Raw genomic sequence first — 27,679 nt, forward strand, 5'->3', positions numbered from 1 at the left:
CTTTTACCACAATTCTGTTTGGTGATCTTTGGTTTCTTAACACATTACCTTGGCCCTAAGAGCTTTAGTCCTGTCTGGCCCTGTTGCAATGACACTTACTGTCTCAGGGGTCTGTGATATCAGTTTTACATCGGTCACCGACTCTGAGATTGCCCTGGGCTCTTTAGACTAGTCATTAAACCTATTCTTCCTTTAGCCTCATTAGACTTCTAAAACCAGTATCTTGACCTCCTACTTAGCCAGGCTGGTGAAGAGGAAACTGAATGCAAGGAAAGTGTGTGTCAGATGGAAGCATTGTAGGAACACAGGATACAGTCTCCTGAGTGATAATATAATTGGAAAATGATAGATAGTATTAAAATAATTTTAAAAATTTTTTGCTTTACAGGTAGGCACTTTTATATTAGCTTCCAAGATTTCAGTAACATACAGACATCATCAGAAAATAATAAAACAATATACATTGTGTGAGTAGTGTACACATTTTAAACTAACAAAAAATGTAAATGATCTTTGTTTCTAATAACTTTTTTCCTACTTCCATGTGACTTTCTAATTTTCTCTCATTAAGTGCTGTGAAAAACAATCTTTTCACTTCAGATAAGGTTTTAGTGCCTCAATAATTTCTATTTTCAACCACTGGAAAGACACTCTCTAGAATCTCTGTTCTTGTATTTTGGAAATAATGGGGAAATTTATTGACTAAAGTTCCAACAGAGACTCTAAACTCTGGAAAAGGTAGAAAGATATATATGCACAAAGAAATGCTTCACAGATTATCAAGGAGATAAAAAACTAATAGACAGTTTCCATGGTAAGGCCCAAAAAGAAGAGATTTGCTCTAACAAGAAACAATACTCAATAATCTTTTTATATGATAACAAGAATTCACAAAAATCTACTTTTGGCTGGTGCATAATAGGAAAAAAAAAATAGCAAAAAATTGAGCTTCGTATGTGACCAGTTATGTCAGTTTGTTAAGATGTGGCATTAAGTGAGATCAGATCACATAATTTCATTTTTAGAAATGACTTTTACAATTATCAACTTAAACCATTTCATTATAAAAATGAGAAAAATGAGCCTCATAAAAGTCAAGTAAATTTTCCAAGGAAAGACTTTTGATTAGTGCTCTCCTACACATAAGTTCTATGTTATTTTCTCTATTTCATGCAGTTTCTACGTGAGTTATGTCCTTTGCCCTATGCTGTTCTTTAGCACACAGATTTCTATTTTTTTGTATCAACTATATGCATGACATTATGTTACAGAAAATGGATTTATTATTTTAAACAGTGAATATTTCAAAATTAGTATTCAGAGTTCATCCTCATTTTATAGCTGAAGAAACTGAGTCTCAGGGGAGTTATGCGGATTCCTTAACATTACAAAGTTAGTAAGTGGAATGGTTAAAATTCAAATCCAATAGGTTCATATCAGCCAAGTCCATAGTCATTTTAGCAGACAGTGATGATTTTCTAGTTTTAGGTCTGCTAAAGAATAAAGAAAAAAGTGAAGAAATTTAAATCAGCAAATCTTACTTATTTCAGTAAATGTTAATTTCACTGCTCTGTAATAGGTATATTTATTAAATTATATATGTAGGCAAAAACAAAGAAGCAAACTAAGAGAAAACAAAAACACAACTATGTCACTTGGAAACAGTTTTACTATCACTTGGTCTTTTGTAATCTTTCAATAGGCTTATAAAAGTGAATGTATGTATACTTCCACTTCAGTCCAGGAGGATTAACAGGTATTTGATTTGCCCTCACATCTTTATCACCTAGAAACCAGACAACTATATGAAACAATGGTTTTCAGTTATTGTACAGCAGGCAGTGCAGAACTGTGATCCCAGAGAGGAGGAAAATAAATGAGATAATTCCTATAATTGCAATAGCTTAGTTTGTAGAAGTAGTTTCCAGGTAACAACAGAAGAGAAAAAGCCAAACAAACCTCAGAAATCTCTGTGAGTGGAGAAAAAAAAGAGGTTAGTGTTTGGGGATACTGAGGTGCTCATAATTTTTAGGACAGACCACTAGAGAAAAAGAAGCTTAACTAGGTATAAGAACAGACCTTGAAAGGCTCTAACTGATCCCCAATAACTCCATTGCATACCAGAACAAAGAGGGCAATATTATTTTAAAACTACCATACAGAAAAAAATAATGAAAAATATAAAATGTGCAGCATACAATGAAAATCACCAGGCATGTAAAGAAGCAGAAGGATAAGACCAATAATAAAGATAAAATTTAAGAAATGTAAACAAATCTAGAAATCACCATTGCAGTTAGCAGAGGACATAATAGCAGTGACTATAAATATGTTCCAAAAGTTCAAAGAAGTAAGTGAAAAGAGGAACATGATGAAGAGAGAAATAGAATAGATAAAAAATAAAAAATTGAACTTTTAGATATAACAATGCAATACCTTTTAAAAGTATATTCGTGATATTAAGAACAGATTAAATTATGTATTTCAAAAGAAAAAGTGGTAAACATGAAGTCATAGGAAAAAAAGAAAATTCTCCAAAATAAAACATAAAGAAAATAGAACACCAAAAACTTGTGGGACAATTTCAAGTATAATTAGATCTAAAGAATAAAGGGAGAGAGAGTCAGAAAAAAAATGTTTAAAGAAATAATTGCCAAATTTTTTTCAAATTTAATAAAATGTATAAACCCATGAATTCAAAAGCTCAACAAATTTGAAGCAGAAAAAAGAAGGAAAAGAAAACACTACTATGGCACATCCTAATCAAGTTGGTGAAAACCAGAGTTAAACAAAAGCCAAATCTACTCAGTCCAGAATTTTACATAACATAGCATATAGCTTGCAAACAAACACAGCATAGCTGACTGCTAAATAAACATATGGCATTAGAGGTCATTTAATGATCAACCTTTAAAAAAAATTGCTGTAACTTCAGTAAAGAGCACAACCTTATTCAGCTTAATATGAAGCAGATGTATGTATCAGTGTAACTATCACCCTTAAATTGAATATACATCATTCCAGAAGGTTCTTTAAAACTTATTTTTTTACATTTACATAGTAGGTGTGTATATTTTGGGGGTACATCAGATGTTCTGTTACAGGCATGCAGTGTGAAATAAGCACATCATGGAGAATGGGGTATCCAAACCCTCAAACATTTATCCTTTGAGGTACAAACAATACAATTACATTCTTTAAGCTATTTAAAAATATGCAAAATTAAGTTATTATTGACTATAGTTACCCTATTGTTCTATCAGATAGTAGGTCCTATTCATTCTTTCCACTCTTTGTGCCCATTAACCATCTCCACCTTCCTCCCAACTGCTGGTAACCATCCTTCTACTCTCTATGTCCATGAATTCCTTCATATCAAATCAATCAAATCATGATTTGATTTTTAGATCCCATAAATGAGAGCATGCAATGTTTGTCTTTCTGTGCCTATTTCACTTAACACAATGACGTCATTCCCATCCATGTTGTTGAAAATGACTAGATCTCTTTCTTTTTATGACTGAATACTGCTCCATTGTGTTTATGTACCACATTTTCTTTATTTATTCATCTGTTAATGGACACCTAGGTTGCTTTCATATCTTAGCTATTTATTGTAAACAGTGCTGCAACAAACATAGGAGTACAGATTTCTCTTTGATATACTGGTTTCCTTTCTTTTGGGTCTATATCCAGCAGTGAGATTGCTAGATCATATGGTAGCTCATTTTTCAGTTATTTCAGGAACCTCCAAACTGTTTTCTATAGTGGTTATACTAATTTATATTCCCACCAACAGTGTACGAGGGTTCCCTTTTCTCCACATTCTCTCCAGCATTTTTATTGCTTGTCTTTTGGACAAAAGACATTTTAACTGGGGTGAGATTATATCTCATTGAAGTTTTGATTTCCATGTCTCTGATGATCATTGATGTTGAGCACCATTTCATATGCCTGTTTGTCATTTGCATGTCTTCTCTTCAGAAATGTCCATTCAAATCTTTTGCCCATTTTTTGATTGGATTATTAGATTTTTTTCCTATTGAGTTGTTTGAGCTTCTTATATAGTCTGGTTATTAATCCCTTTCAGATGGGTAGTTTGCAAATATTTTTTTCCCATTCTGTGGGTTGTCTCTTACTTTGTTGGCTGTATTCTTTGCTATGCAGAAGCTTTTTATCTTGATGTGATCCCATGTGCCCGTGTTTGCTTTGGTTGTCTGTGCTTGTGGGGTGTTGTTCAAGAAGTCTTTGTCCAGACCAATGTCCTGGAGATTATCCCCAATGTTTTCTTGCAGTAGTTTCATGGTTTGAGGTCTTAACAAGTGTTTAATCCATTTAGATTTGATTTTTGTGTATGAGGAGAGGTAGGGATGTAGTTTCATTCATTGGCATATGACTATCCAGTTTTCCCAGCAGCATTTATTGAAGATACTGTCTTTTTACCAGTGTATGTTCTTGGCACCTTTGTCAAAAACGAGTTTCCTGTAGGTGTGTTGATTTATTTCTGGGTTCTCTATTCTGTTCCATTAGTCTATGTGTCTGTGTTTATGCCAGTACCATGCTGTTTTGGTTACTATATGTCTGTAGTATAATTTGAAGTCAGCTAATGTGATTCCTCCAGTTTTGTTCCTTTTGCTTAGGATAGCTCTGTCTATTCTGGGCCTTTTGTTGTTCCATATATATTTTAGAATTTTTTTTTTATTTCTGTGAAGATTGTCTTTGATATTTTGTCAGGGATTGCATAGAATCTGTAGGTTGCTTTGGGTAATATGGACATTTTAACAATATTGATGCTTCCAATTCGTGAACATGAAATATGTTCCCATATTCTGGTGTCCTCTTCAATTTCCTTCATCAGTGTTTTATAGTTTATAGAGATCTTTCATGTCTTTGATTAAGTCAACTCCTATGTGTTTAATTTTACCTGTGGCAATTGTAAATGGGATTACTTTTTAAATTTCTTTTTCACATTGTTCACTGTTGACATATAGAAATGCTACTGATTTTTGTATGTTAATTTTGTGTCCTGTAACTTTATTAAATTTGTTTATCAGTTCTAGTAGTTTTCTTTTTGAGTCTTTAGGTTTCTCCAAATATAACATCATATCATCAGCAAACAGGAATAATTTGACTTCTTCCTTTCCAATTTAGATGCCCTTTATATCTTTCTCCTGTTTAATTGTTCTAGCTAGGACTTCCAGTACTATGTTGGATAACAGAAGGTTCTCTTATAATCTTTCTCAGAGATAATAATTCTGCTTTTGAAAACTAAAGATTAAATTTTGTCTAGTCTCAAACATCATATGAATTAAATCATATTATAATAACTTGTGTGTCTGTCTTCTTTCATTCAACATATTATCTGTGAGAATTATCTATGATTTTGCATTTTTCAGGAATACTTTTTGTTGATTTTATAAATGCACTAAAATTCATCCATTCTCTTTTTTGTAGATGTTTGAGTTGCTCCCAGTTTTATGCTACCATGAATGAGGTCAGTAGAAATATTTTTATACATACTGTCGGCTAATGTAGTCAATTATGTTTTTGTGATGTATACCTAAACATGGCATTGTTGGGTCATAAGGTAGAAGTGTGCCTAGGCTTAATAGACGTTGTCAAGAGTTACTCACAGTAATTGAAGTAGTTTATATTTCTACTAACACTACATGAGAGTTTTGGTTTCTTCACTTTCTCACCAAGAATTGACATTGTCTGTCTTCTTAATTTTAGTTTTTGTTTTTCTCTTGGAGTAAGTTGATAAATCATTGAGATTTTACTTTGTGTTTTCTTGATGCATAATGATATTGAGCATATTTTATAGCTTATTGGCCATTTAGCTATCTACCTTCTTCTTGTTCAAGTTTCCCAGTTTTTGAAGTGTGTCTTTGGTCATTTAATTATGAATTTGTAGGATTCATTTATAACCTAGATATGTATTCTTTGTTAGATATACTTGTTTTATGTATCTTCTTCCAGTTTTTTTTTGGACTTACCTATTTCAATGAACAAAAGATCTTGATTTCAAAGAAGTCCAATTTATCAATATTTTGATTTTGGAATGAGCATATTTCTGCTCTATTTAACAAATATTTGTTCACCCAAGTTCACGGGATTATTTTCCTATATATTCTTGAAGATTTATTGTTTTACCTTCCATAGACCTGTAGATCTATTTTCCATTTCAGATTAATTTTTACATATGGCATAAGGAATGAGTCAAAAATTATTTGGTTTTCTATAAGGTTATCTGATTGTTCCAGCAGTATTTACGTCAAAGATTATTTTTAAAATATTCAGCTAATGTGACCCCTATTTTATAAATCATGTGAATATATATTTATACAGTAATCCCCCCTTATCTGCAGGATATCTGCGAAGGATTTTTAACTTTTTCCTGATATATAGAAATAAAATTGAATTCTGGATATTTACTTCTAATCTAATGACTTTAGTAATTTGACGCAGGGATAGACTGTTTGGATTTAGATCAGCTGACATTTGCTGAACTTCTCAAATCCACAAAGTCATGTCTTTCATCAAATTAGATATTATTTAGTCAATATTTTAAAAATGTGGTTTCTGGCCTATTCTCTCTCTTATCCCATTATTAAACTCCACTTATAAGTAGGTTAGATATTTTGGCTGTATGGTATTATTTTTCTCATATTTTAAATATTTTTCTTACTTTTCTTTACACTTTTTTTTGTGATATAGTGTGCTTGTGGAGACTTTGCATTATCATATTCCTGTAAAGATTGTTGAGTTTCTATTTTGGTTTGTAGGGTTTTGCTTTGTTTTATTTTAAAATTGAAATATGAGGGTTTCATTTTGATTCTATTGATGCTTTACTTTAGGCTATGTTAGAGTGGTTCTATTTAGTTTTGCCTTTACATTTAAGGCACAATCATTTAGAGGTCACAACTGAATACCCATTGTCTTTTGTATTGCATGGAAATTCTACTGGCCCTGGATTCTAACATATACCATGTCTTGTGCAACCTCTCTTCTTTGCTAGGTCTTCTAGCTGTCTGTTCTATGTGTGTGAAGCTTAGGAGTCAGTCAAGGTTGGGAGAGAATTTTTTATACAGGTTTTTAGAGAATTTTTCTCTGCTACTCTGTCCTGCATATCAAGTTCCAGCTGCATTGTAAAGCCAGAACTCTGTATTTCCTTTGACCAATAAACTTCCACTTTCTATGAAAAATGTATTTAAAGATGCAGTTAAAGAGAAATTCAATGTGAATATTAATCTCCTCTTGTGTGCTTCGTTTGTATTAATTACTAGTGCTTTCTGATGGTAACAAAAGTTTGGTTTGGTCTAGCTTTCGTAATTGCCCGGGATGGAGGAGTCAGTCTGATAGAGCTACTTTCTCATGGCCCATATCAGTTTTTAAAAGGATACAAAATATACTGCAAATAATTGCAAAGAACACACTCATGCTAAGCTAATTGACATTGGTCTAATTTGTAGAAACAGTAAGAGGTTTCAGTATTTATTGCAAACACTTTACATCAAACACCTCAGTGATTGCTGAATCTCAAGATTAAAACCACGGATGAAAGTAAACATTTTGTATTTCAGAATTAAGACCCAAAACTATATACTCATACTCACCTTAAGTAATCAATATTAATTAATTTATTCATTCCTTGTTAAATTAATATTTGTTGATAAACTACCAGTTGCCAAGTAATCTTCAAAAGTGTGTGAAACAATTAGAAAAGAGAGATCAAACTGATAAACTGCATCATAGTTAAGTTTAATGCTACTCTGCAAGATATCTTATTATCATTATAGATGTCAAAAATAAATGTATCCTTATGTTTTAGAACAAGAATTAACCCTCAAAAAAGTAAATAAGTGAAAGATTAAGTAATAAGAAACTGTAGAATACTCTAGCAAATAGGAAAAGTTTTTAAATATTATAATGTCATACATTGTTAGAAATGTGAAAATATATATACACAGGTAAGAAGCTTCTAGGATTGATTAAATCTTTATTTCAAGAAAATAGTAGGCCAGGTGCGGTGGCTCATGCCTGTAATCCCAGCACTTTGGGAGGCCAAGGCGGGCAGATCACGGGGTCAGGAGTTCAAGACCAGCCTGACCAACATGGTGAAATCTCGTCTCTACTAAAAATACAAAAATTAGCTGGGTGTGGTGGCACATGGCTGTAATCCCAGCTACCAAGGAGGCTGAGGCAGGAGAATCGCTTGAACCCGGGAAGTGGAAGTTGCAGAGAGCCAAGATTACACCACTGCACTCCAGCCTGGGTGACAAAAAAACATAAAGAAGTACAGTTGTTCTCAAGGAAAATCAGGCAATATACATTTCCACATTTTAATATTTATAGCCTTTGAAATGATAATTTCATTTTCAAGAATTATCTTAAAAACTATTTGATATGTACAAATATACATACAAAATCATGTTCATCTGACCATTATTTATAATGCTAAAAATAAAAAGCCACCTAATAAATATTTTCAAGGGACTAGGTATGTGATAAGACTATTTGCAGGTATTCTCAAAATATAGCTAAGATTATGAGAACATTCTGGATGTAAATTGTAAAGTAAAATAAGATATCAAAAAATATTTTCACTATTGTTTTCATTCCTATATTTACATTTTAACAAGAAAACTCCTTAAAAAATGTTTTTGATTACCCCCACCCCCACCTTATATTAGGAATGTTCACTACATGATGATGTAGTAAGAAATTATTTTTATGATTAGTTTTTTTTTCTTTTTTTTTTTTTTACTTCAATAGGTCTTTGGGGAACAGGTGGTTTTTGGTTACATGAATAAGTTTTTTAGTGTACACTGTACCCAATGTGTAGTCTTGTATCCTTTCCCACCACTCACCCTTTTTCCCCGAGTCCCCAAAGTCCAATGTATCATTCTTATGCCTTTGAGTCGTCATAGCTTAGCTTCCACATATGAATGAAAACCTACAATGCTTGTTTTTTATTTCTGAATTACTTCACTTAGAATAGTAGTCTCCAGTTTTACCCAGGTTCCTGTAAATGACATTATTTCACTCCTTTTTATGACTGAGTAGTATTCCATGATATTTATATATGTGTGTGTATGTATATATGCACCACATTTTCTTCATCCTCTCGTTGATTGATGGGCATTTGAGCTGGTTTCATACTTTTGCAATTGCAAATTGTGCTGTTATAAACATGTGTGTGCAAGTATCTTTTTTGTATAATGACTTCTTTTCATCTGCGTAGATACCTAGTAGTGGGATTACTGGATGAAATGGTAGATCTACTTATAGTTCTTTAAGGAATCTCCACACTCTTTTCCACAGTGGTTGTACTAGTTTACATTCCCTCCAACAGTGTAAAAGTGTTCCTTTTCACCTCGTCCACACCAACATCTATTTTTTTTTAATTTTTTGATTATGGCCTTTCTTGTAGAAGTGAGGTGGTATCACACTGTGATTTGGATTTGCATTTCCCTGATAATTAATGATGTTGAACATTTTTCTATGTGCTTCTTAGCCATTTGTATATCTTCTTTTGAGAATTGTCTATTCACATGCTTAGCCCACTTTTTGATGGGATTTTTTTTTCTTGCTGGTTTGTTTGATTTCCTAGTAGATTTTGGATATTAGTCCTTTGTTGGATGTATAAATTGTGAAGATTTTCTCCCACTCTATGGGTTGTCTGTTAACTCTGCTGATTTTTTTTTTTTTTTTTTACTATGCAGAAGCTTTTTTGTTTATTTCAGTCCCATCTATTTATGTTTGCTTTTGTTCCATTTGCTTTTGAGTTCTTGGTCATGAAGTCTTTGCCGAAGCGAATGTATACAAGGGTTTTTCCAATGTTTTGTTCTAGAATCTTTATGGTTTCGGGTCTTAGATTTATGTCTTTGATCCATCTTGAGTTGAGTTTTGTATAAGGTGAGAAATGAGGATCCAATTTCATTCTTCTACATGTGGCTTGCCAATTATCCCAGCACCATTTGTTGAACACGGTGTTTTTACCCACTTTATGTTTTTGTTTACTTTGTCGAAGATCAGTTGGCTGTAAGTATTTGGGTTTATTTCTGAGTTCTCTATTCTGTTCCATTTGTCTATGTGCTTATTTTTATACCAGTACCATACTGTTTTGGTGACTATGGCCTTATACTGTAGTTTCATGTCAGGTAATGCGATGCCTCCAGATATATATATATATATATATATAAATTTTTTTTTTTTTTGCTTTGTCTGGCTATGTGGGCTCTTTTTTGGTTCCATATGAGTTATAGGATTGCTTTTTTCTAATTCTGTGATGAATGATCATGGCATGTTGATGGGAATTGCATTGAATTTACAGATTGCTTTTGGAAGTGTGGTCATTTTCACAATATTCGTTCTACCCATCCATGAGCATGGTGTTTGTGTTTCTTTTGTTTGTGTTGTGTATGATTTCTTTCAGCAGTGTTTTGTAGTTTGTGCAAGTAGAGGTCTTGCACATCCTTGGTTAGGTATATTCATAAGTATTCTTTCTTTTTTTTTTTTTTTTTTGCAGCTGTTGTGAAAGGGGTTGAGTTCTTGATGTGACTCTCAGCTTAGTCACTGTTGGTGTATAGCAGAGCTACTGATTTGTTTACGTTAATTTTGTATCCTGAAAGTTCAATGAATTCATTTACCAGTTTTTTTAATAGTTAGATTTTATTGTTATGTCTGCTAAATTTATATTTTTGTATATTTTTAAAGCAGCAGCATACTTAGTTAAGAAGTTCAAAAAGTATAAATCAGTCATGGAGGTCTAAATGGATTTTTAGTTGTGGCAATACATATTTGTTTGGTTACCAAAGAGATACTTTATTGAATACTGCATTTTAAAGGTAGTGACAAGATTTTGCCTACCTTCCAAAATGTTAAATTAAGGGCTGAGGTTTTAAGAAACCTTATTATTCATTCTACAACTTCCCCTGACAAAGGTTTTATCTACTGTCTTTGTCTATCCTTCACCTATTGATCTGTTCATACATTTATATTGATGAAAATAGAAATGGTTAAAACCAAATCTGCTTTGACAATAACATGTTGGAAGACGATTAAGAACTTCAACCCATGATTGTGTATGCTTTATTATACATGAGTTAAACACACAGCAAACAACCTGGCATGTGACAGACTCTTAAACTGTTTGTGAAATAAGTGGATGCACTGAACCTACTAAGATATTTTCTAAGAATTTTCATGTGACAACATATATGGGCAGCAGTTATGTCACTCATAATCTTTTTAGTTTTTCCTTCCAAGGTCACCATTTCTACTGCTTCTGACCAGAAACCCCCAATTCCTTGTTGCTATGGAAAGTTACCTCGCACTCTGTTTTTTTTTAGATAATTCTTATTTTTCAGAAGACATTAATTATTGCCCAATTTTTAAATTGTAACATCAGACTTTAAGTAGTTTAGGTACTATCACTCACATCAGAACTTCAGGTTATCTGAAAATACAACTTCGTTTCTTTCTGACAATCTAGATCTTTCAGAATACAATATTATCAACTGAAAGCCAAACAGGACATTATGACTCTTGATAATATGTGACAGAGAGGGTTCGGCATCTTAATGCATCATTTTTTTAATGAACATTTTGGTGTGCTGTAGTTAATATCATGTTATATGTAAACATATATATAATATATTCACACAGAGAATACAGTAAGGTTAAATATGACACTATGACACAAGGTAGTTTTATTTTATGTGCTTTGTGCCCTTTGTTTCACTTATACGTTTGTAAGGAGAAGGATCATAGAAACTGCAACCCCAGAATCAGTTATTGCATTTAGGATTCCAAAAACTGAAAATGAAATATCAAGTTCCCACCACCAAATAAGAGCATTCCGTAAATGGAAGGCAAATAATCCCTTTCAATTGCCTAATTTAAGGTAGGTTCTTTGGGGAAAAGACTACTGCAAATAGAATGTATTACTGAAAAAAAAGCATTTTATTTGCTAGATCTATTTGCTTAAGTAGAACAAGGATTTCATAGCACTGGAAAGTGTGAAAATCTTATACAGACATTAGTAATATCATAATTTTATTTTAAATTGAAAAAAGTTTAAAATATGCAATTTTAGACATATACAATGTCTTCATGGGTCATCAGTTCAAAGCTTCATTTTAATTGTTTAGGAAATGATGCCTGGAACAATGAAGCTCCTGTCTGCCTGCATAGCTAACCAGTGACTACGACAGTACTAAAGCCAAGAATCTACATTGTTCCTACCACGGCACAAAAATCTACATTTTTTTTTTTTTCTTTTTTTTTTTTTTTGAGACGGAGTCTCGCTCTGTCGCCCAGGCTGGAGTGCAGTGGCGGGATCTCGGCTCACTGCAAGCTCTGCCTCCCGGGTTCAAGCCATTCTCCTGCCTCAGCCTCCCAAGTAGCTGGGACTACAGGCGCCCGCCACTACGCCCAGCTAATTTTTTGTATTTTTAGTAGAGACGGGGTTTCACCGTTTTAGCCGGGATGGTCTCGATCTCCTGACCTCGTGATCCGCCCGCCTCGGCCTCCCAAAGTGCTGGGATTACAGGCTTGAGCCACCGCGCCCGGCCAAAAATCTACATTTTTAACCCAGTGCTTCTACTGCCACATTAAACTCCTGCATTGTGAAGGAAAGAAATATTTGGTTGAATGAAGCACCTTATGATAAAAATGAACAGATTGAAGGAAGATTGATAACAGTGTTGCAAGATAGTGGCAGAACTTGGAATCAGAAACAGCAGGGTGATACTCCTGTACAACATTATTTTCTCATAGCCTGATACTTAAAAATACCATTTTAACTACAGCACACCAAATGTCCATTAAAAAAATTACAAGTCAGTTATACATATGCAAGGTTTCCTCTAAAACTAATAACAGCCAACATTTTTGAAAGCCTACTATGTAAGAAATGGATGATAAATGCAATAAATGTGTTAAAGGAAAAACTACAAATTAAATTTAGTAGAGTGTATTTGAGCAAAGAAATGGTTTATGAACAAGGCACTACCCTGAACCAGTATTTAGAAAGCCCCACCCAGCAATGTGCACAGGTAGTATTTATCCACAGGGGGAAAAGAAAAGTAACATAAATAGCCTGATTGGTTATAGCTTGATGTTTGCCTTATTTGGACATGTCTGAGCAATTTGCAGCCTGTGATTGGCTGAAAGCTTGGCTGTTATGATTGGCCGAGACCCACTTACTTGTTACAAGAATACACTTTCGTTAGGTGAGGTCGTAGTTTTGGTTTTCCAGATTTGTTTTTCTGGTATAATTATCCTTTTATTTTGTATGTATGTATTCATTTTTTTGAAGACAGCATTTAATAAAATTTAAGTAATGCCTAAGTATTTGGGCTCTGCTGGTTTACTAATACATTTTTTAAATTATACTTTAAGTTCAGGGGTACATGTGCAGAATGTGCAGTTTTGTTACATAGGTATACACGAGCCACAGTGGTTTGCTGCATCCTCAACCTATCACCTACATTAGGTATTTCTCCTAATGTTATCCCTCCCCTAGCCCCCCACCCCCTGACAGGCCCTGGTGTTTGATGTTCCCCTCTCTATGTCCATGTGTTCTTATTGTTCAACTCCCACTTATGAATGAGAACGTGCAGTGTTTGGTTTTCTGTTCTTGTAATAGTTTGCTGAGAATAGTGTTTTCCAGCTTCATCCATGTCCCTGCAAAAGACATGAACTCATCCTTTTTATGGCTGTATAGTATTCCATAGTGTATATGTGCCGCATTTTCTTTATCTGGTCTATTACTGATGGACATTTGGGTTGATTCCAAGTCTTTGCTATTGTGAATAGTGCCGCAATAAACATACATGTGCATGTGTCTTCATAGTAGAATGATTTCTAATCCTTTAGGTATAAACCCAGTAATGGGATTGCTGGGACAAATGGTATTTCTAGTTCTAGATCCTAGAGGAATCACCGTACTGTCTTCCACAATGGTTGAACTAATTTATACACCCACCAACGGTGTAAAATCATCCCTATTTCTCCACATCATCTCCAGCATCTGTTGTTTCCTGACTTTTTAATGATCGCCATTCTAACTGGCGTGAGATGGTATCTCATTGTGGTTTTGATTTGCATTTCTCTAATGACCAGTGATGATGATACGCATTTTTTCATATTTCTGTTGGCTGCATAAATGTCTTCTTTTGAGAAGTGTCTGTCTGTTCACATAGTTTGCCTACTCTTTGATGGGGTTGTTTGTTTTTTCTTGTAAATTTGTTTAAGTTCTTTGTAGATTCTGGGTATTAGCCCTTTGTCAGATGGATAGATTGCAAAAATTATCTCGCATTCTGTAGGTTGCCTGTTCACTCTGATGATAGTTTCTCTTGCTGTGCAGAAGCTCTTTAGTTTAATTAGATCCCATTTGTCAATTTTGGCTTTTGTTGCCATTGCTTTTGGTGTTTTAGTCATGAAGACTTTGCCCATGCCTGTGTCCTGAATATGTAGCCATGAGGAAATATACTTATTATTACCATCTCTAGCTTAAGTAAAGCTAAAGGAGAAAATATGATTATAAGTATTTGTAAGTATTTTGGTATGATGCTAGTTGTTTTTGAATGTCTTCTCTGCCTAGCTGTAACTAATCAAAAAAGCTAAATCTTGTTGACATTTAAATAGGTGGCCTTAGTTATATAAGATGGCATTTAGCTTAATAATTTCATTTTTCTTCATTCATTCTACTAAATTGCTCCAACTGTAATATTACTACACTGCACTTTACATGAGGAGCAATATTATAGCATTCAAAACAAGTATTTACCCTGTCTTATCTTTCATGGGTTTTTCAAAAAAGAATACAACTTATTAACAAGTAGGCAAATGTAACATGGAAATGCTTTTTTTCATCATGATTTTTAAGTATGTTCTGGCTCCCAATATGATAATTTTGCCTACTGAAATTTTCATTCCAGCCTAAGGTATTTGGTAGAAAGATGCTTAAAACTTACCTCAGTGACATTAGCTTAATTGCCCAATTTGCAGGAGACAACCAAAGCTAACCTTTATTATCATGTTTTACTGTTTATAAAATGCTTCATGTGTGGGACTATTTGATTCCACGATCTTTTTTTTTTTTTTTGAGACAGAGTATTGCTCTGTCGCCCAGGCTAGAGTGCAGTGGCACGATCTCAGCCCACTGCAAGCTCCGCCTCCCAGGTTCACGCCATTCTCCTGCCTCAGCCTCCCGAGTAGCTGGGACTACAGGCGCCCGCCACCACGCCCGGCTAATTTTTTGTATTTTTTAGTAGAGACGGGGTTTCACCGTGTTAGCCAGGATGGTCTCAATTTCCTGACCTCGTGATCCACCCGCCTCGGCCTCCCAAAGTGCTGGGATTACAGGCGTGAGCCACCGCGTCCGGCCTGATTCCAGGATCTTAAATCCCATTTCACAAAAAAGAGGCACTGACAAAAATTTATCCGTGCATACAATTAATTAGTGAGAGGACAGGGACTTGAATCTGTGTTTTCTAAACTCAATTTCCTGTTTTTGTGTTAGTCAATCCACTTTACCCTGCAGTCTTATAGCCTATGCCCTTGTCATAAAACTCCTTTGCCTGACTACGTTTACTGTGTATGTATGTAAAGAAGCTGGTATCAAATCCTCCCATTACAAGCATGGTAAAAATCCCAACACTTTCAAATGTTCACTGTTCATAAATATTCATTAATTGGAAACTACTACCAAAACATGCTGGATTTTATTAGGCTCTGAAGTATAAAGAGGAGAGAGAATTCAGATGCATGAGGAAAACTGCCCTTCTGAAAATGCTACAAGTAACTGTAATTCCTTAGACAGTAATACTTTCCAGGTTTATCTACATGGACCTCTACAATCCCAGAATGAACATATTCCTATAAAATGAAGTGTCCTAAAAGCAAAGATAAAGAGGAAAAAGATTCTGGCACTGGTGGGTTGGTTATAATCGTAAAGAAGATGCAATTGACCTAGAGAAAACTTTGATATGGAAAATAGCTCAGATTTATCCCAATGCCTCTCACAATTAGCTCTTTTAGTAAATGGGCATATTTATCTCAATATTTCCAGGATAATTGTTTGTGGCTCAGTGATAAATAGCATGGCACCATCTGCACATAAAATCTTTTTATGTTCTGATTCTCTTGTTATTGTATCTTGATGCTAATGCTATTCTTAAGGCCATGTATGCACTGGTAAAGAAGTAGGTGCGTACTTCTTGTTGACTTTCGGTTAAATTTACAACACTAAAAGTATATTTCCTAATTTTACCTTTTGTGGGAAATTTATCTTCTGGGAAAATTAACAAAAATTAAGGATCTGTGGTCCACTACAAGTAGCAGCTCCAGTTTACTTGTACTGGGGTTGTATACATAATTTAGATAATACAGACAGTTAAATGATTTGGGTGGCAGAATGCTAAAGACGTATCTTATAGGTAACTTGTTTGTAAAACTGTATAGTACTTTCAAGTAATTTTGAATTGCATGACACTGACAGTCAGGGAAAAGAAAATGCATGAATGTGATAAACCGTTTTCATCTTATTTATGACCAAATGGGGAATTTAACCATTGTGATATTCCACCAAAATAACTCAGTGCATTGATAACCATAGCGTATTTTATTTCTTATTATGAAAGAGGAACAATATTTCATGCTAAATTTTGTTAATACTGAGCTCAAATGTGTTATCAATATAATTCATATCCTTCTATGGGGCAATGACTTTCAACACAGGGCTGAGGGTACATACATTGTCATAAATCTTGTATACATTTGTTGAAGTATCTGCATTTCCATTTCACAAAAAAGTACAGATGTGTGGATGCCTTGATCGACTCGTTAAAGATTTTTTTGTTGTTGTTTTATGTCTGTATTGACTTTTCTTTTCTCTCATGCTTAAAAGTTACTATTCTATACATTTATAGAATGGAAGACCATACTTCACTATTTATTATCTCTTGTTCCTCATTTCTTTGTGTGGGTATTTGGTAAATGGAAACAGCTTGGGCATTATCTTCATACACTTTCTTTTCATGTGCCATTAGGCTTCAGCATCATTCATGCGTTAATTAATTCATTTATTTTAAAAGAAATTTCCCAAATATACTCTGTACTATGTACCTTGATAAGCAGATACACTTCTCTGTAAAAAATTCTTAAGACCTCGTGCTATAAACATGATAATCTCTATTTTACAAAACAGAAAGGAGGACCAGAAAACTTAAGTGATTTGCCCAGAGACACATATCCAGTGAATGAGAAAGAATCAATTAGAAAGTTAATCTTCCAAAATTAAGACTAGGGTTCTTTTAATCATTTCCAGTTGCTTCAAATGAATGCTACAACTATATTCAGACATTTCTTTATGATGGGAGAATTAAAAGTGAGTGCTTAAGGTCTTAGAATACAGAAAAGAGGTAGAAGAATATTGTTCAAATTTTAGTGGGCAGCAGTAACTACTACAGACCTAGCTAGAGCGTAGATTCCAGAGAAATGACATCAGCAAAATGGCAAAGTAGGTGGCTCCAAGCTCTTGTGCCCTTATAGAAAAATATATATGAAATACATACACACACACACACACACACACACACACACACAGACACACACACACCAAGGCAGAAATGTCAGTATCAACATTGTCAGAACTTTGGAAAATATTCAAAGGTTTACAACAACCTTGCCTGTTTTAATAAAGAAAATGCCAACTTGAAAACAGTAGGAAAGCTTTCCCATATATAAACATTCCCTTGCCTCACTGTTTCCCTAGAATGTCAGCAATCTGGAAGCAGTGATAGCCTTTCCAGTGTGGAATTCTGGTTCCAGCTTCTGGACCAAGAAGAGCAGATCTTATTTGTTCTTGTCTGTTCTAACATGTCTGAAGCCACCTAAAGCATTGATGCAAGTGCTCACCTTTGTTTCGCTTATATCAGAACTCAGGCCAGAAAAGTGGTGTGCATAGGTAGAAAATGCTGCAAGGTGAAATAACCTGAAAATGACTGAGACAGAAGATTACGGTTGAGAAATACAATAGATTAAAAAAAAAGAAGGCATTGGAGGAAAAGCTGGGAAGATTCTTTGAGAAATTAGGGCATTCCAAAGCCCAATGTGTACAGGAGAAATTAGAAAGCTATGTACACCAAACAACAGAACCCCAGAATATATAACACAAAAAAGCCAGCATTATAGGGAGAAATTGAATAGGCAGGTCTATAATTATATTTGGAGATCTCAGTATACCACTTCCAATAACTAACAATCCTTCTATGGGCCAATAATTAATAAAATATCTAGAAAAAAGAGCAATAAGGAAACAAAGGACTTTACCAACACTACAAAGTAGATCTAGAGGACATATATGGAATACTCCCCCCAACAACAGCAGAATACACTTTCTTGTCAAGTGGATCTGAAACATTCTCCAGAATAGATGATACGTTAGGCCACAGAGAATTCTCACTCAATTTAAAGAGATTAAAATCATACCAGGTATCTTCTGTAATAACAATAGGATAAAGCTAGAAATAAATAACAGAAATAAAAGTGAAACATTTACAAATATGTAGAAATTAACACTCTCTTAAACAGCTAATGGGTTGAAGAAGAAATCAAAGAAAATTAGAAAATACATAAAGACAAATAAAAATTAAAACATAGCATACCAAATCTTACGGAATACAGTGAAAGCAGTGCTCGGGAGAAAATGGTAGCTGTAAACAGTTATATTAAAAAGGAAACATCTCAGATCTATAATATTGTACTTTGAGGAACAGGAATGAGATGAGCAAACTAAACTGAACATTAGCAGAAATAAGGGAATAATAGGGATTAGAGGAGAGTTAAGTAAAATGGAAAATGGATAAACAGTATTGTGGATAGAGCAAGATGGTGCAACAGAAGCCTACACCATTGATCTTCCCAGCAGAAACACAACATTTTAACAACTATCTGCACATAGAAAAGCACCATCACAAGAACCAAAAATCAGGTGACAATTATAGTACCTGATTTTCATTTGATATCTCTGAAAATGGCATAGAAGACAGTTGGAGAGACAATCTTGTACAGCCGAAGCCACCCCTTCCCTGTCCCCTGGCAGCAGCTGTGCGGCATTGAGAAAGAATCTATTCTTTTGTGAGAGAGAGGACACAGTGGCTGGGGGACTTTACATTGAACTCAATAGTGCCCTGTCACAGTGGAAAGCAAAGTCAAGCACCCACACCCAGAAGGAGCATTTGGGCCAGACCTGGCCAGAGGGGAATCAATCACCCATCCCAGCAGTCAGAGCTCGAGTTTCTTGGCAAGTCTTGCTACCATGGGCCAAAGTGCTCTGTGATCCTACATAAACTTGAAAGGCAGCCTAGGCCACAAAGACTGCAACTCCTAGAAAACTCCTAGTGCTGGGCTGTACTCAGACCTGGTGAACTAGAATGGCGTGTGACCTAGTGAGACAACAGCTTGGGTGGCTGGTGGAAGGCTTGCGCCACCCCTCCTCTAACCTTAGGCAGTGAAGCTCACAGCAGCAAATGTTTTGCCATTTTGCCTTCTTTCTGCTTACAAGAAGGAGAGTGAAGAGTAAAGAGAACTTTTTTCTTGTATCTTGGATACCAGCTCAGCCACAGTAGGATAAGGCACCAGGCAGAGTCACTAGGCCCCCCATTTTAATACCTAGCTTCTGGATGACATGTCTGGGTACATAAAATGTGGGCCAAAAGGGAACTCGCTGCCTTAAGGGAAGGACCCAGTTCTGGCAGGACTCATCGCCTGATGACTAAAGAGTCCTGAATTACCAGCAGTGATACCAAGTGTTGGCTTTGGGTTCTGAGATGTGCTGACTTCAGATATGACCCAGCACATTTCCAGCTGTGGTGGCTATGGTGAAAGACCCCTTCTGTTGGAGAAAAGCAGAGGGAAAATTAAAGGGGACTTTGTCTTACACCTCAGGTATCAGCTTGACCACAGTACAGTAGAGCATCAAGCAGGCCCCAGGTATCCCCAAGCCCAGCCCTATGTTCTTAGACAGCATTTCTAAACTTGCCCTGGTTCAAAGGGGAGACCACTACCCTGAAGGGTGAACCCTAGACCTGGCAGCATTCACCACAAGCTGACTAAAGAGCCGTTGGGTCCTAAGTGAACATCAGTGGTGGCCTGGCAGAATCCCTGGTGGGCCAGTGATTGTGCTGGCCACAGAAAGAGGCTCCTCTGCCTATGGAAAGGGGAAGGAAGAATGTGAAGGACTTTGTATTGTGTTTTGAGTGCCAACTTAGCCACAGTAGAATGGAATATTAGGTAAAATCCTAAGATTGTTTATTCCAATCCCTGGTTACCAGACAGCATCTCTGAACCCGCCCAGGGCCTGAGGGAACTAAACACCCTGAAGGAAAGGAAAGAAACCTGGCTGGCTTCACTACCTGCTGATCATAGAGCCCTAGGACCTTGAGTGAGTCTAGATGGTAACCAGGTAGTGGTTGGAGAGGGCCTTGAGTGAGATCCAGTGCTGTGCTGACCCAGAGCAGTCCCAGGGGTGCTTACATCACCATACCTCCAGTTCTGGGCAGCTTAACACAGAAAGAAAGACTGTGTGTGTTTGGAGAAAGCAAGGGAAAAGAACAAGAATCTCTGCTTGGTAATCCAGAGCATACTTCTGGATCTTATCCAAGGCTACCAAGGTAGAACCTCTATAAGTCTGCATAAATCAGTGTTATTAGGCTGGGGTCCAAGCCCCTTCAAGTATCTGGAAGGTCTTCTCAAGAAGGAAAGACACAAACAAGCCCAGACTGTAAAGAATAGAATAAATAACAATTCACTGCCCAGACACTGACAAACATCTACAAGCATCAAGATTATCCAGGAAAACATATCCTCAGCAATGAAGCTAGATAAAGTATCAGAGACCAAGCTTGGAAAAACAGAGATAGGTGATCTTTCAGACACATAATTCAAAATAGCAGTTTTGAGGAAACTCAAAGAAATTCAAGATAACACAGAGAAGGAATTCAGAATTCTATCATGTAAATTTAACAAAGAGATTGAGATAATTAAAAAGAATCAAGCAGAAATGCTAGAGTTGAAAAATGTAACTGATATGTTGAAGAATACATCAGAGTCTCTTAATAGTAGGATTGCACAAGCAGAAGAAAGAACTAGTGAGCTAGAAGACAGGCTGTTTAAAAATACACAGAGAAGACTAAAGAATGAAAGAATAACATTGATATATGCCTACTAGATCTAGGAAATAGTCTCAAAGGGGCAAACGCTAAGAGTTATTGGCCTTAAAGAGGAAGTAGAGAAAGATGTAGGGAAAGTTTATTCAAAGGGATAATAACAGAGAGCTTTTTTTTTCTTAAGACAGAGCCTCGCTTTTTTTGTTTATTTGTTTGTTTGTTTGTTTTTTGGTTTTTTTTAGACAGAGCCTCACTGGGTTGCCTTGCCCAGGCTGGAGTGCAATGGAGCAATCTTGGCTCACTGCCACTTCCATGTCCCGGTTTCAAGCAACTCTTGTGCCTCAGCCTCCAGAGTAGCTAAGACTACAGGCATGTGCCATCTCACCCAGCTAATTTTTATTTTTTAATAGAGACCGGATTTCACCATGTTGGCCAGGCTGGTCCTGAACTCCTAGCCTCAAGCGATCCACCCACCTTGGCCTCCCAAAGTACTGGGATTACAGGTGTGAGCCACTGCGCTCAGTCAGAACTTTCAAACCTAGAGAAAAATATCAGCATTCAAGTACAAGAAGGTTATAGAACACCAGATTTAACTCCCAAAAAAAAACTACGTCAAGGCATTTAATAATCAAATTCCCCAAGGTCAAGGATTTAAAAAGAGTCCTAAAAGCAGCAAGAGAAAATAAACAAGTAACATACAGTGAAGCTCCAATACATCTGGCAGCAAACTTTTCAGTGGAAACCTTAAAGGCCAGATGAGAGTGGCATGACATATTTAAAGTGCTGAAAGAAAAAGTCCTTTACCCTAGAATAATATATAAGGTGAAAATATCTGTGAAGGATGAAAGAGAAATAAATACCTTCCCAGACAAACAGAAGCTGAGGATTTTGTAGACACTACGTCTGTCCTACAAGGAATGCTAAGGCAGTTATTTCATCTGAAAGAAAAGAATTTTAGCGAGCAAGAAGATATCATTTGAAGTTACAAAACTCACAGGTAATAGTAAGCACACGGAAAAATACAGAATATTATAACACTGTAATTACAGTGTGTAAACTCCTCTTTTCTTAAGTGGAAGGAATAAATGGTGAACTAACTAAAAAAAGTCTACAGCCACTTTTCAAGACATAGACATTACAATAAGACACAAAGAGAAATGTAAAATATTAAAAAGCAGAGGTATGAAGATAAAGTGCAGAGTTTTTATTAGTCTTCTTTGTGTTTGTTTCTTTGCTTATTCAATCAGTGTTGTCATCAATTTCAAATAATGGGTTGTAAGATTATATTTGCAATTCTCATGCCTACCTCAAATTGAAAAACATAATGGATAAATAAAAAATAAAAAGCAAATAATTAAATTTTGCCACCACAGAAAATCACCTTCACTAAAAGGAAGACAGGAAGGAATGAAAGAAAAAAGTGAAGACCACAAAACAACCAGAAACCCAGTAACAAAATGACAGGAGTAGCTCCCTACTTATCAATAATAACATTAAATGTAAATGGACTAAACTCTCAAATAAAAACACAAGAGTCGCTAAATGGATGAAACAAAAAAGATGCAATGATCAGCTGCCTACGAGAAATAATCCATCTATAAATATACACAAATAAAGAGATGGAAAAATATATTACATGACAATGGAAACAGAAAAAAGCAGGAGTAGCTATGTTTATATCAGACAAAATAGACTTCAAGACAAAAACTGCAACAAGGGACATTATATCATTTATATAATAATAACAGCTTCAATTAAGCAAAAGGACATAACAGTTATAAATATGTATGCACCTGACACTGGATCACCCAGATATATAAAGCAAGTATTATTATAACCAAAGAGGGAGATAGACTCCAATACAGTAATAGATGGAGTCTTCAACAGCCCACTTTCATTATTGAACAGATTATCTAGACAGAATATCAACTAAGAAACATCAGACTTAATCTATTCTATACAACAAATATACCTAATAGATATTTATGGAACATTTTAATCTATAGCTGCAGAATATATATTCTTCTCCACAGCACATGGATTATTCTCAAAAATAGACCATATGTTACGTCAAAAAACAGGTCTTAAAAGCTGTATATGACTGACACACAGTTAAAATCATATTCAGTGGGGAAAACTTGAAAACCATTTCTCTAACATGTAGAACATCACAAAGAAGCCCACTTTCACCACTGTTATATGACAGTACTAGAAGCCCTTGCTAGAGCAATCAGACAAGAGGAGGAAATAAAGGGCATCCAAATTGGAAAGGAAAAAGACATATTAGTCTTTTTTTGCAGATTATATGATCTTATATTTGAAAACACCTAAAGACTCCACACAGACACACACAAAAACAAGCTTATTAAAACTTATAAACAAATTCAGTAAAGTTGCACAACACAAAATAAACATACAAAAACCAGCAGCATTTCTGAATGGCAACAACAAACAATCTGAAAAAATAAGAAAATGATCTCATTTACAATAACTACAAATAAATTTAAATATCTAGAAATTAACCAATATGAACAATCTCTACAATGAAAACTATATAACACTGATGAAAGAAATTGAGGACACCAAAAAATGAAAAGCAATTCCCGGTTCATGAATTGGAAGAATCAATATTGTTAAAATGCTCAAACTGCCCAAAACAATCTACAGCTTTATTGAAAAACTTATCAGAGTAACAATGACATTCTTCAGAGAAAAAAAAATCCTAAAATTTATATGAAACCATAAAAAAACCAGAATAGCCAAAGCTATCCTAAGCAAAAAGAACAAAACTGGTGGAATCACATAAGTTGACTTCAAATTATACTACAGACATATAGTAAGCAGAACAGCATGCTACTGTCATAGAAAACAGACATACAGACCAATGGAACAGAATAGAGAATCCAGAAACAAATCAACACACTTAACAGTGAACTCATTTTTTACAAAGATGCCAATGACATCCACTGGTAAAGAGATAGTCTCTTCAATAAACAGTACTGAGAAAACTGGAGATTAATATACAGCAGAAGAAAACTAGACCCTATCTCTTGCCATATACAAAAACTAAATCTAAATGGATTAACGACTTAAATCTAAATTCTCACAAACTATGAAACTACTACAAGAATACATTGGGGAAACTCTTTGGGACTTTGGTCTGTGCAAAGACTTCTTGAGCAATACCCCACAAGCACAGGCAACCAAAGCAAACATGGACTCATGGAATCACATCAAGTTAAAAACCTTCTACACAGCATAGGTGATAATCAACAGAGTGATGACACAATTAACAGAATGGGAGAAAATATTTTCAAACTACCCATCTGACAAGGGATTAAGAACCAGAATATATAAGGGGCTCAAAGAACTTGATAGGAAAAAAAATCTAATTATCTGATTTTAAAATGGGCAAAAAATTTGAATATATATTTCTCAAAAGAAGACATATGAATGACAAACAGTCAAATAAAAAGTGCTCAGTATTACTGATCATTAGAGAAACGCAAATCAAAACTACAATGAGAGATATCATCTCAATCTAGTTAAAATGGCTTTACTCAAGAGACAGGCAATAAATAATAAATGCTGGAGAGGATATTGACAAAAAAGTACCCTCATACACTGTTGGTGTGAATGTAAATTAGTACAACCACCGTGGAAAACAGTTTGAAGGTTCCTCAAATAATTAAAAATAGACCTAGCATATGATCCAATAATTTCACTGCTGGGTGAAAGGGAATCAGTATATTGCAGAGATCTGCACTCTCATGTTGATTGCAGCATTGTTCACAACAGTCAAGATGTGGAAGCAACTTAAAGGTCCATCAAGAGATGAACAGATAAAGAAAATGTGGTAGTTATGCACAATGGAGTACTATGGAGCCATAAGAAGAATGAGATTCTGTCATTTACAACAACATGGATGGAACTGAAGGTCGTTGTGTCAAGTGAAATAAACCAGGCAGACAAACGTCACATGTTCTCACTTATTTGTGAGACATAAAATACAAAATAGACATTCTTCTAGATGGTTACCAGGGGCTGGGAAGGATGGTGGGTATGTGTGGGGGGCAGTTAGGATGGTTAATGGGTACAAAAAATAGTTATTAAGAATGATTAAGACCTAGTTTTTGATAGCACAATACCGTCACTATATTCAATAATAACTTAATTGTACATTTAAAAATAACTAAAAGACTATGAATGGGTTGTTTGTAACACAAAGGATAAATGCCTGTGGGGGTATAAACACTCCATTTTCCATGATGTGATTATGGTGAATTCTGTGCTTGTTTCAAAATCTCTAATGTACCCCATAAATATATAAACCTTCTATGTGCCCACAAAAATTAAAAATTAAAGAAACACAATGTAGAAAAACAATGAAAAAAAGCTGTTTTTTTTTTAACTTTTAGTTTCAGTGGTACATGTGTAGATTTGTTATATAGATACAATGTGTGTCATGTGGGTTTGATGTACACATTATTTTGTCACCCAGGTAATAAGCACAGTACTCAATAGGTAGGTTTTTGATCTGCATACTCCTCCCACCCTCCACTCTCCAGTAGGCCTCGTTGTCTGCTGTTCCCTCCACTGAGTTCATGTGTGTTCGATGTTTAGCTCCCACTTACAAGGGAGAAGTACAGTATTTGGTTTTCTTTTCCTGTGTTCACTCAGAAAAATGGCCGTCAGCTCCATCCATGGTGCTGAAAAGAACATCATCTCTTTTTTTTTATGGCTGTAGAGTATTCCATGGTGTTTATGGAATTTTTATTTATCCAGTCTATCATTGATGGGCATTTAGGTTGACTCCATGTCTTTTCTATTGTGAATAGTGCTGCAATGAACATATGCATGCATATGTCTTTATGGTAGAACAACTTATATTCCTTTGGATATATACCCAACAATGGGATTACTGTGCTGAATGGTAATTCTAAGTTATTTGAGAAATTGCTAAACTGCTTTCCACAGTGACTACGCTAGTTTAAATTCCCACCAGCAGTGTTAAGTACTCCTCTACAATCTCACTGGCATCTGTTATTTTTTGACTTTTTAATAATAGCTATTCTGACTAGTGTGAGACAGTATCCCATTGTGGTTTTGATTTGCATTTATCTAATTATCAGTGATATTGAGCTTTCTTCATGTGCTTCTTGGCCATGTGTATATCTTCTTTTGAAAAGTATCCGTTCATTTCCTTTGCCCACTTTATAATGAGGATTTTTGTTCGTTTGTTTTTAGCTTGTTGCAGTATTTAAGTTTTTTTGTTTTTGTTTTTGTTTTTGTGACACAGTCTTGCTCTGTCACCCAGGCTGGAGTGCAGTAGCATGATCTCGGCTCACTTCAACCTCCACCTCCTGGGTTTAAGCCATTCTCCTGCCTCAACCTCCCCAGTGGCTGGGATTACAGGCACGCACCACCATGCTCGGCTAATTTTTGTATTTTTAGTAGAAACAGGGTTTCACCATGTTGGCCAGGCTGGCCTCAAACTCCTGACTTCGTGATCTGCCCGCCTTGGCCTCCCAAAGGGATTACAGGCTTGAGCCACTGTGCCCAGCCTTAAGTTTCTTATAGATTCTAGATGTTAGACTTTTGTCAGATGTATATTTTGCAAATATTTTCTCCCCTTCTGTGGGCTTGCTATTTACTCTATTGATAATATCATTTTCTGTGCAGAAGCTGTCTAGTTTAATTAGGTCCCATTTGTGAATTTTTGTTTTTGTTGCAATTGCTTTTGTCATCTTTTTCATGAAACCTTGGCTGAAACCTATGCCCAGACTGGTATTTCCTAGGTTGATTTCAAGTGTTTCTACAGTTTTAGTTTTCACATTTAAGTCACTATTCCATCTTGAGTTGATTTTTGTATATGGTGTAAGGAAGAGATCCAATTTCAATGTTTTGCATACAGTTAGCCAATAATCTCAGCACCATATATTGAATAGGGAGTCCTTTCCCCATTGCTTGTTTATGTTGACTTTTTTGAAGGTTATATGGTTGTACCTGTGCAGCTTTATTTCTGGGCTCTGTATGATGTTCCTTTGATATGTGTCTTTTTGTACCAGTGGCATGCTGTTTTGGTTATTGTAGCCTTATACTATAGTTTGAAGTCAGGTAATATCATGCTTCCAACTTTGTTGTTTTTGTTTAGGATTGATTTGGCCATTCCAGCTGTTTTTTTGTTCCATATAAGTTTTAGAAGAGTGTTAGCTAATTCTGTGACAAATTTCATTGGTATTTTGATAGGAACAGCATTGAATCTGTAAATTGCTTTTGGCACTGTGGCCATTTTAACAATATTGATTCTTCATATCCATGAGCACAGATTGAGTTTCTACTTGTTTGTGTCATCTCTGATTTCCTTCAGCAGTGTTTTGTAATTTTCATTGTACAGATTTTTCACCTTCTTGGTTAGTTGTACTTCAAGGTATTTTTTTTTTTGGTATGACTATTTTGTATGACTTGATACAGCACTCAGCTTGGACAATATTGCTGTA

General features: G+C 35.3%; 1 long non-coding RNA gene across 1 annotated transcript in view; it reads left to right on the forward strand.

The window, feature by feature from the left end:
• Positions 1–27,679, forward strand: part of NRXN1-DT (NRXN1 divergent transcript) — a 1,375,317-nt gene that overhangs the window by 823,394 nt on the left and 524,244 nt on the right. The window contains exon 7 of the long non-coding RNA NR_135237.1: positions 5,455–5,494. This is a non-coding gene — a long non-coding RNA (NRXN1 divergent transcript). The remainder of the gene's footprint in view (positions 1–5,454; positions 5,495–27,679) is intronic.

This window comes from Homo sapiens, chromosome 2 (genome assembly GCF_000001405.40).
Source record: "Homo sapiens chromosome 2, GRCh38.p14 Primary Assembly".
NCBI classification, from domain to species: Eukaryota; Metazoa; Chordata; class Mammalia; order Primates; family Hominidae; genus Homo; species Homo sapiens.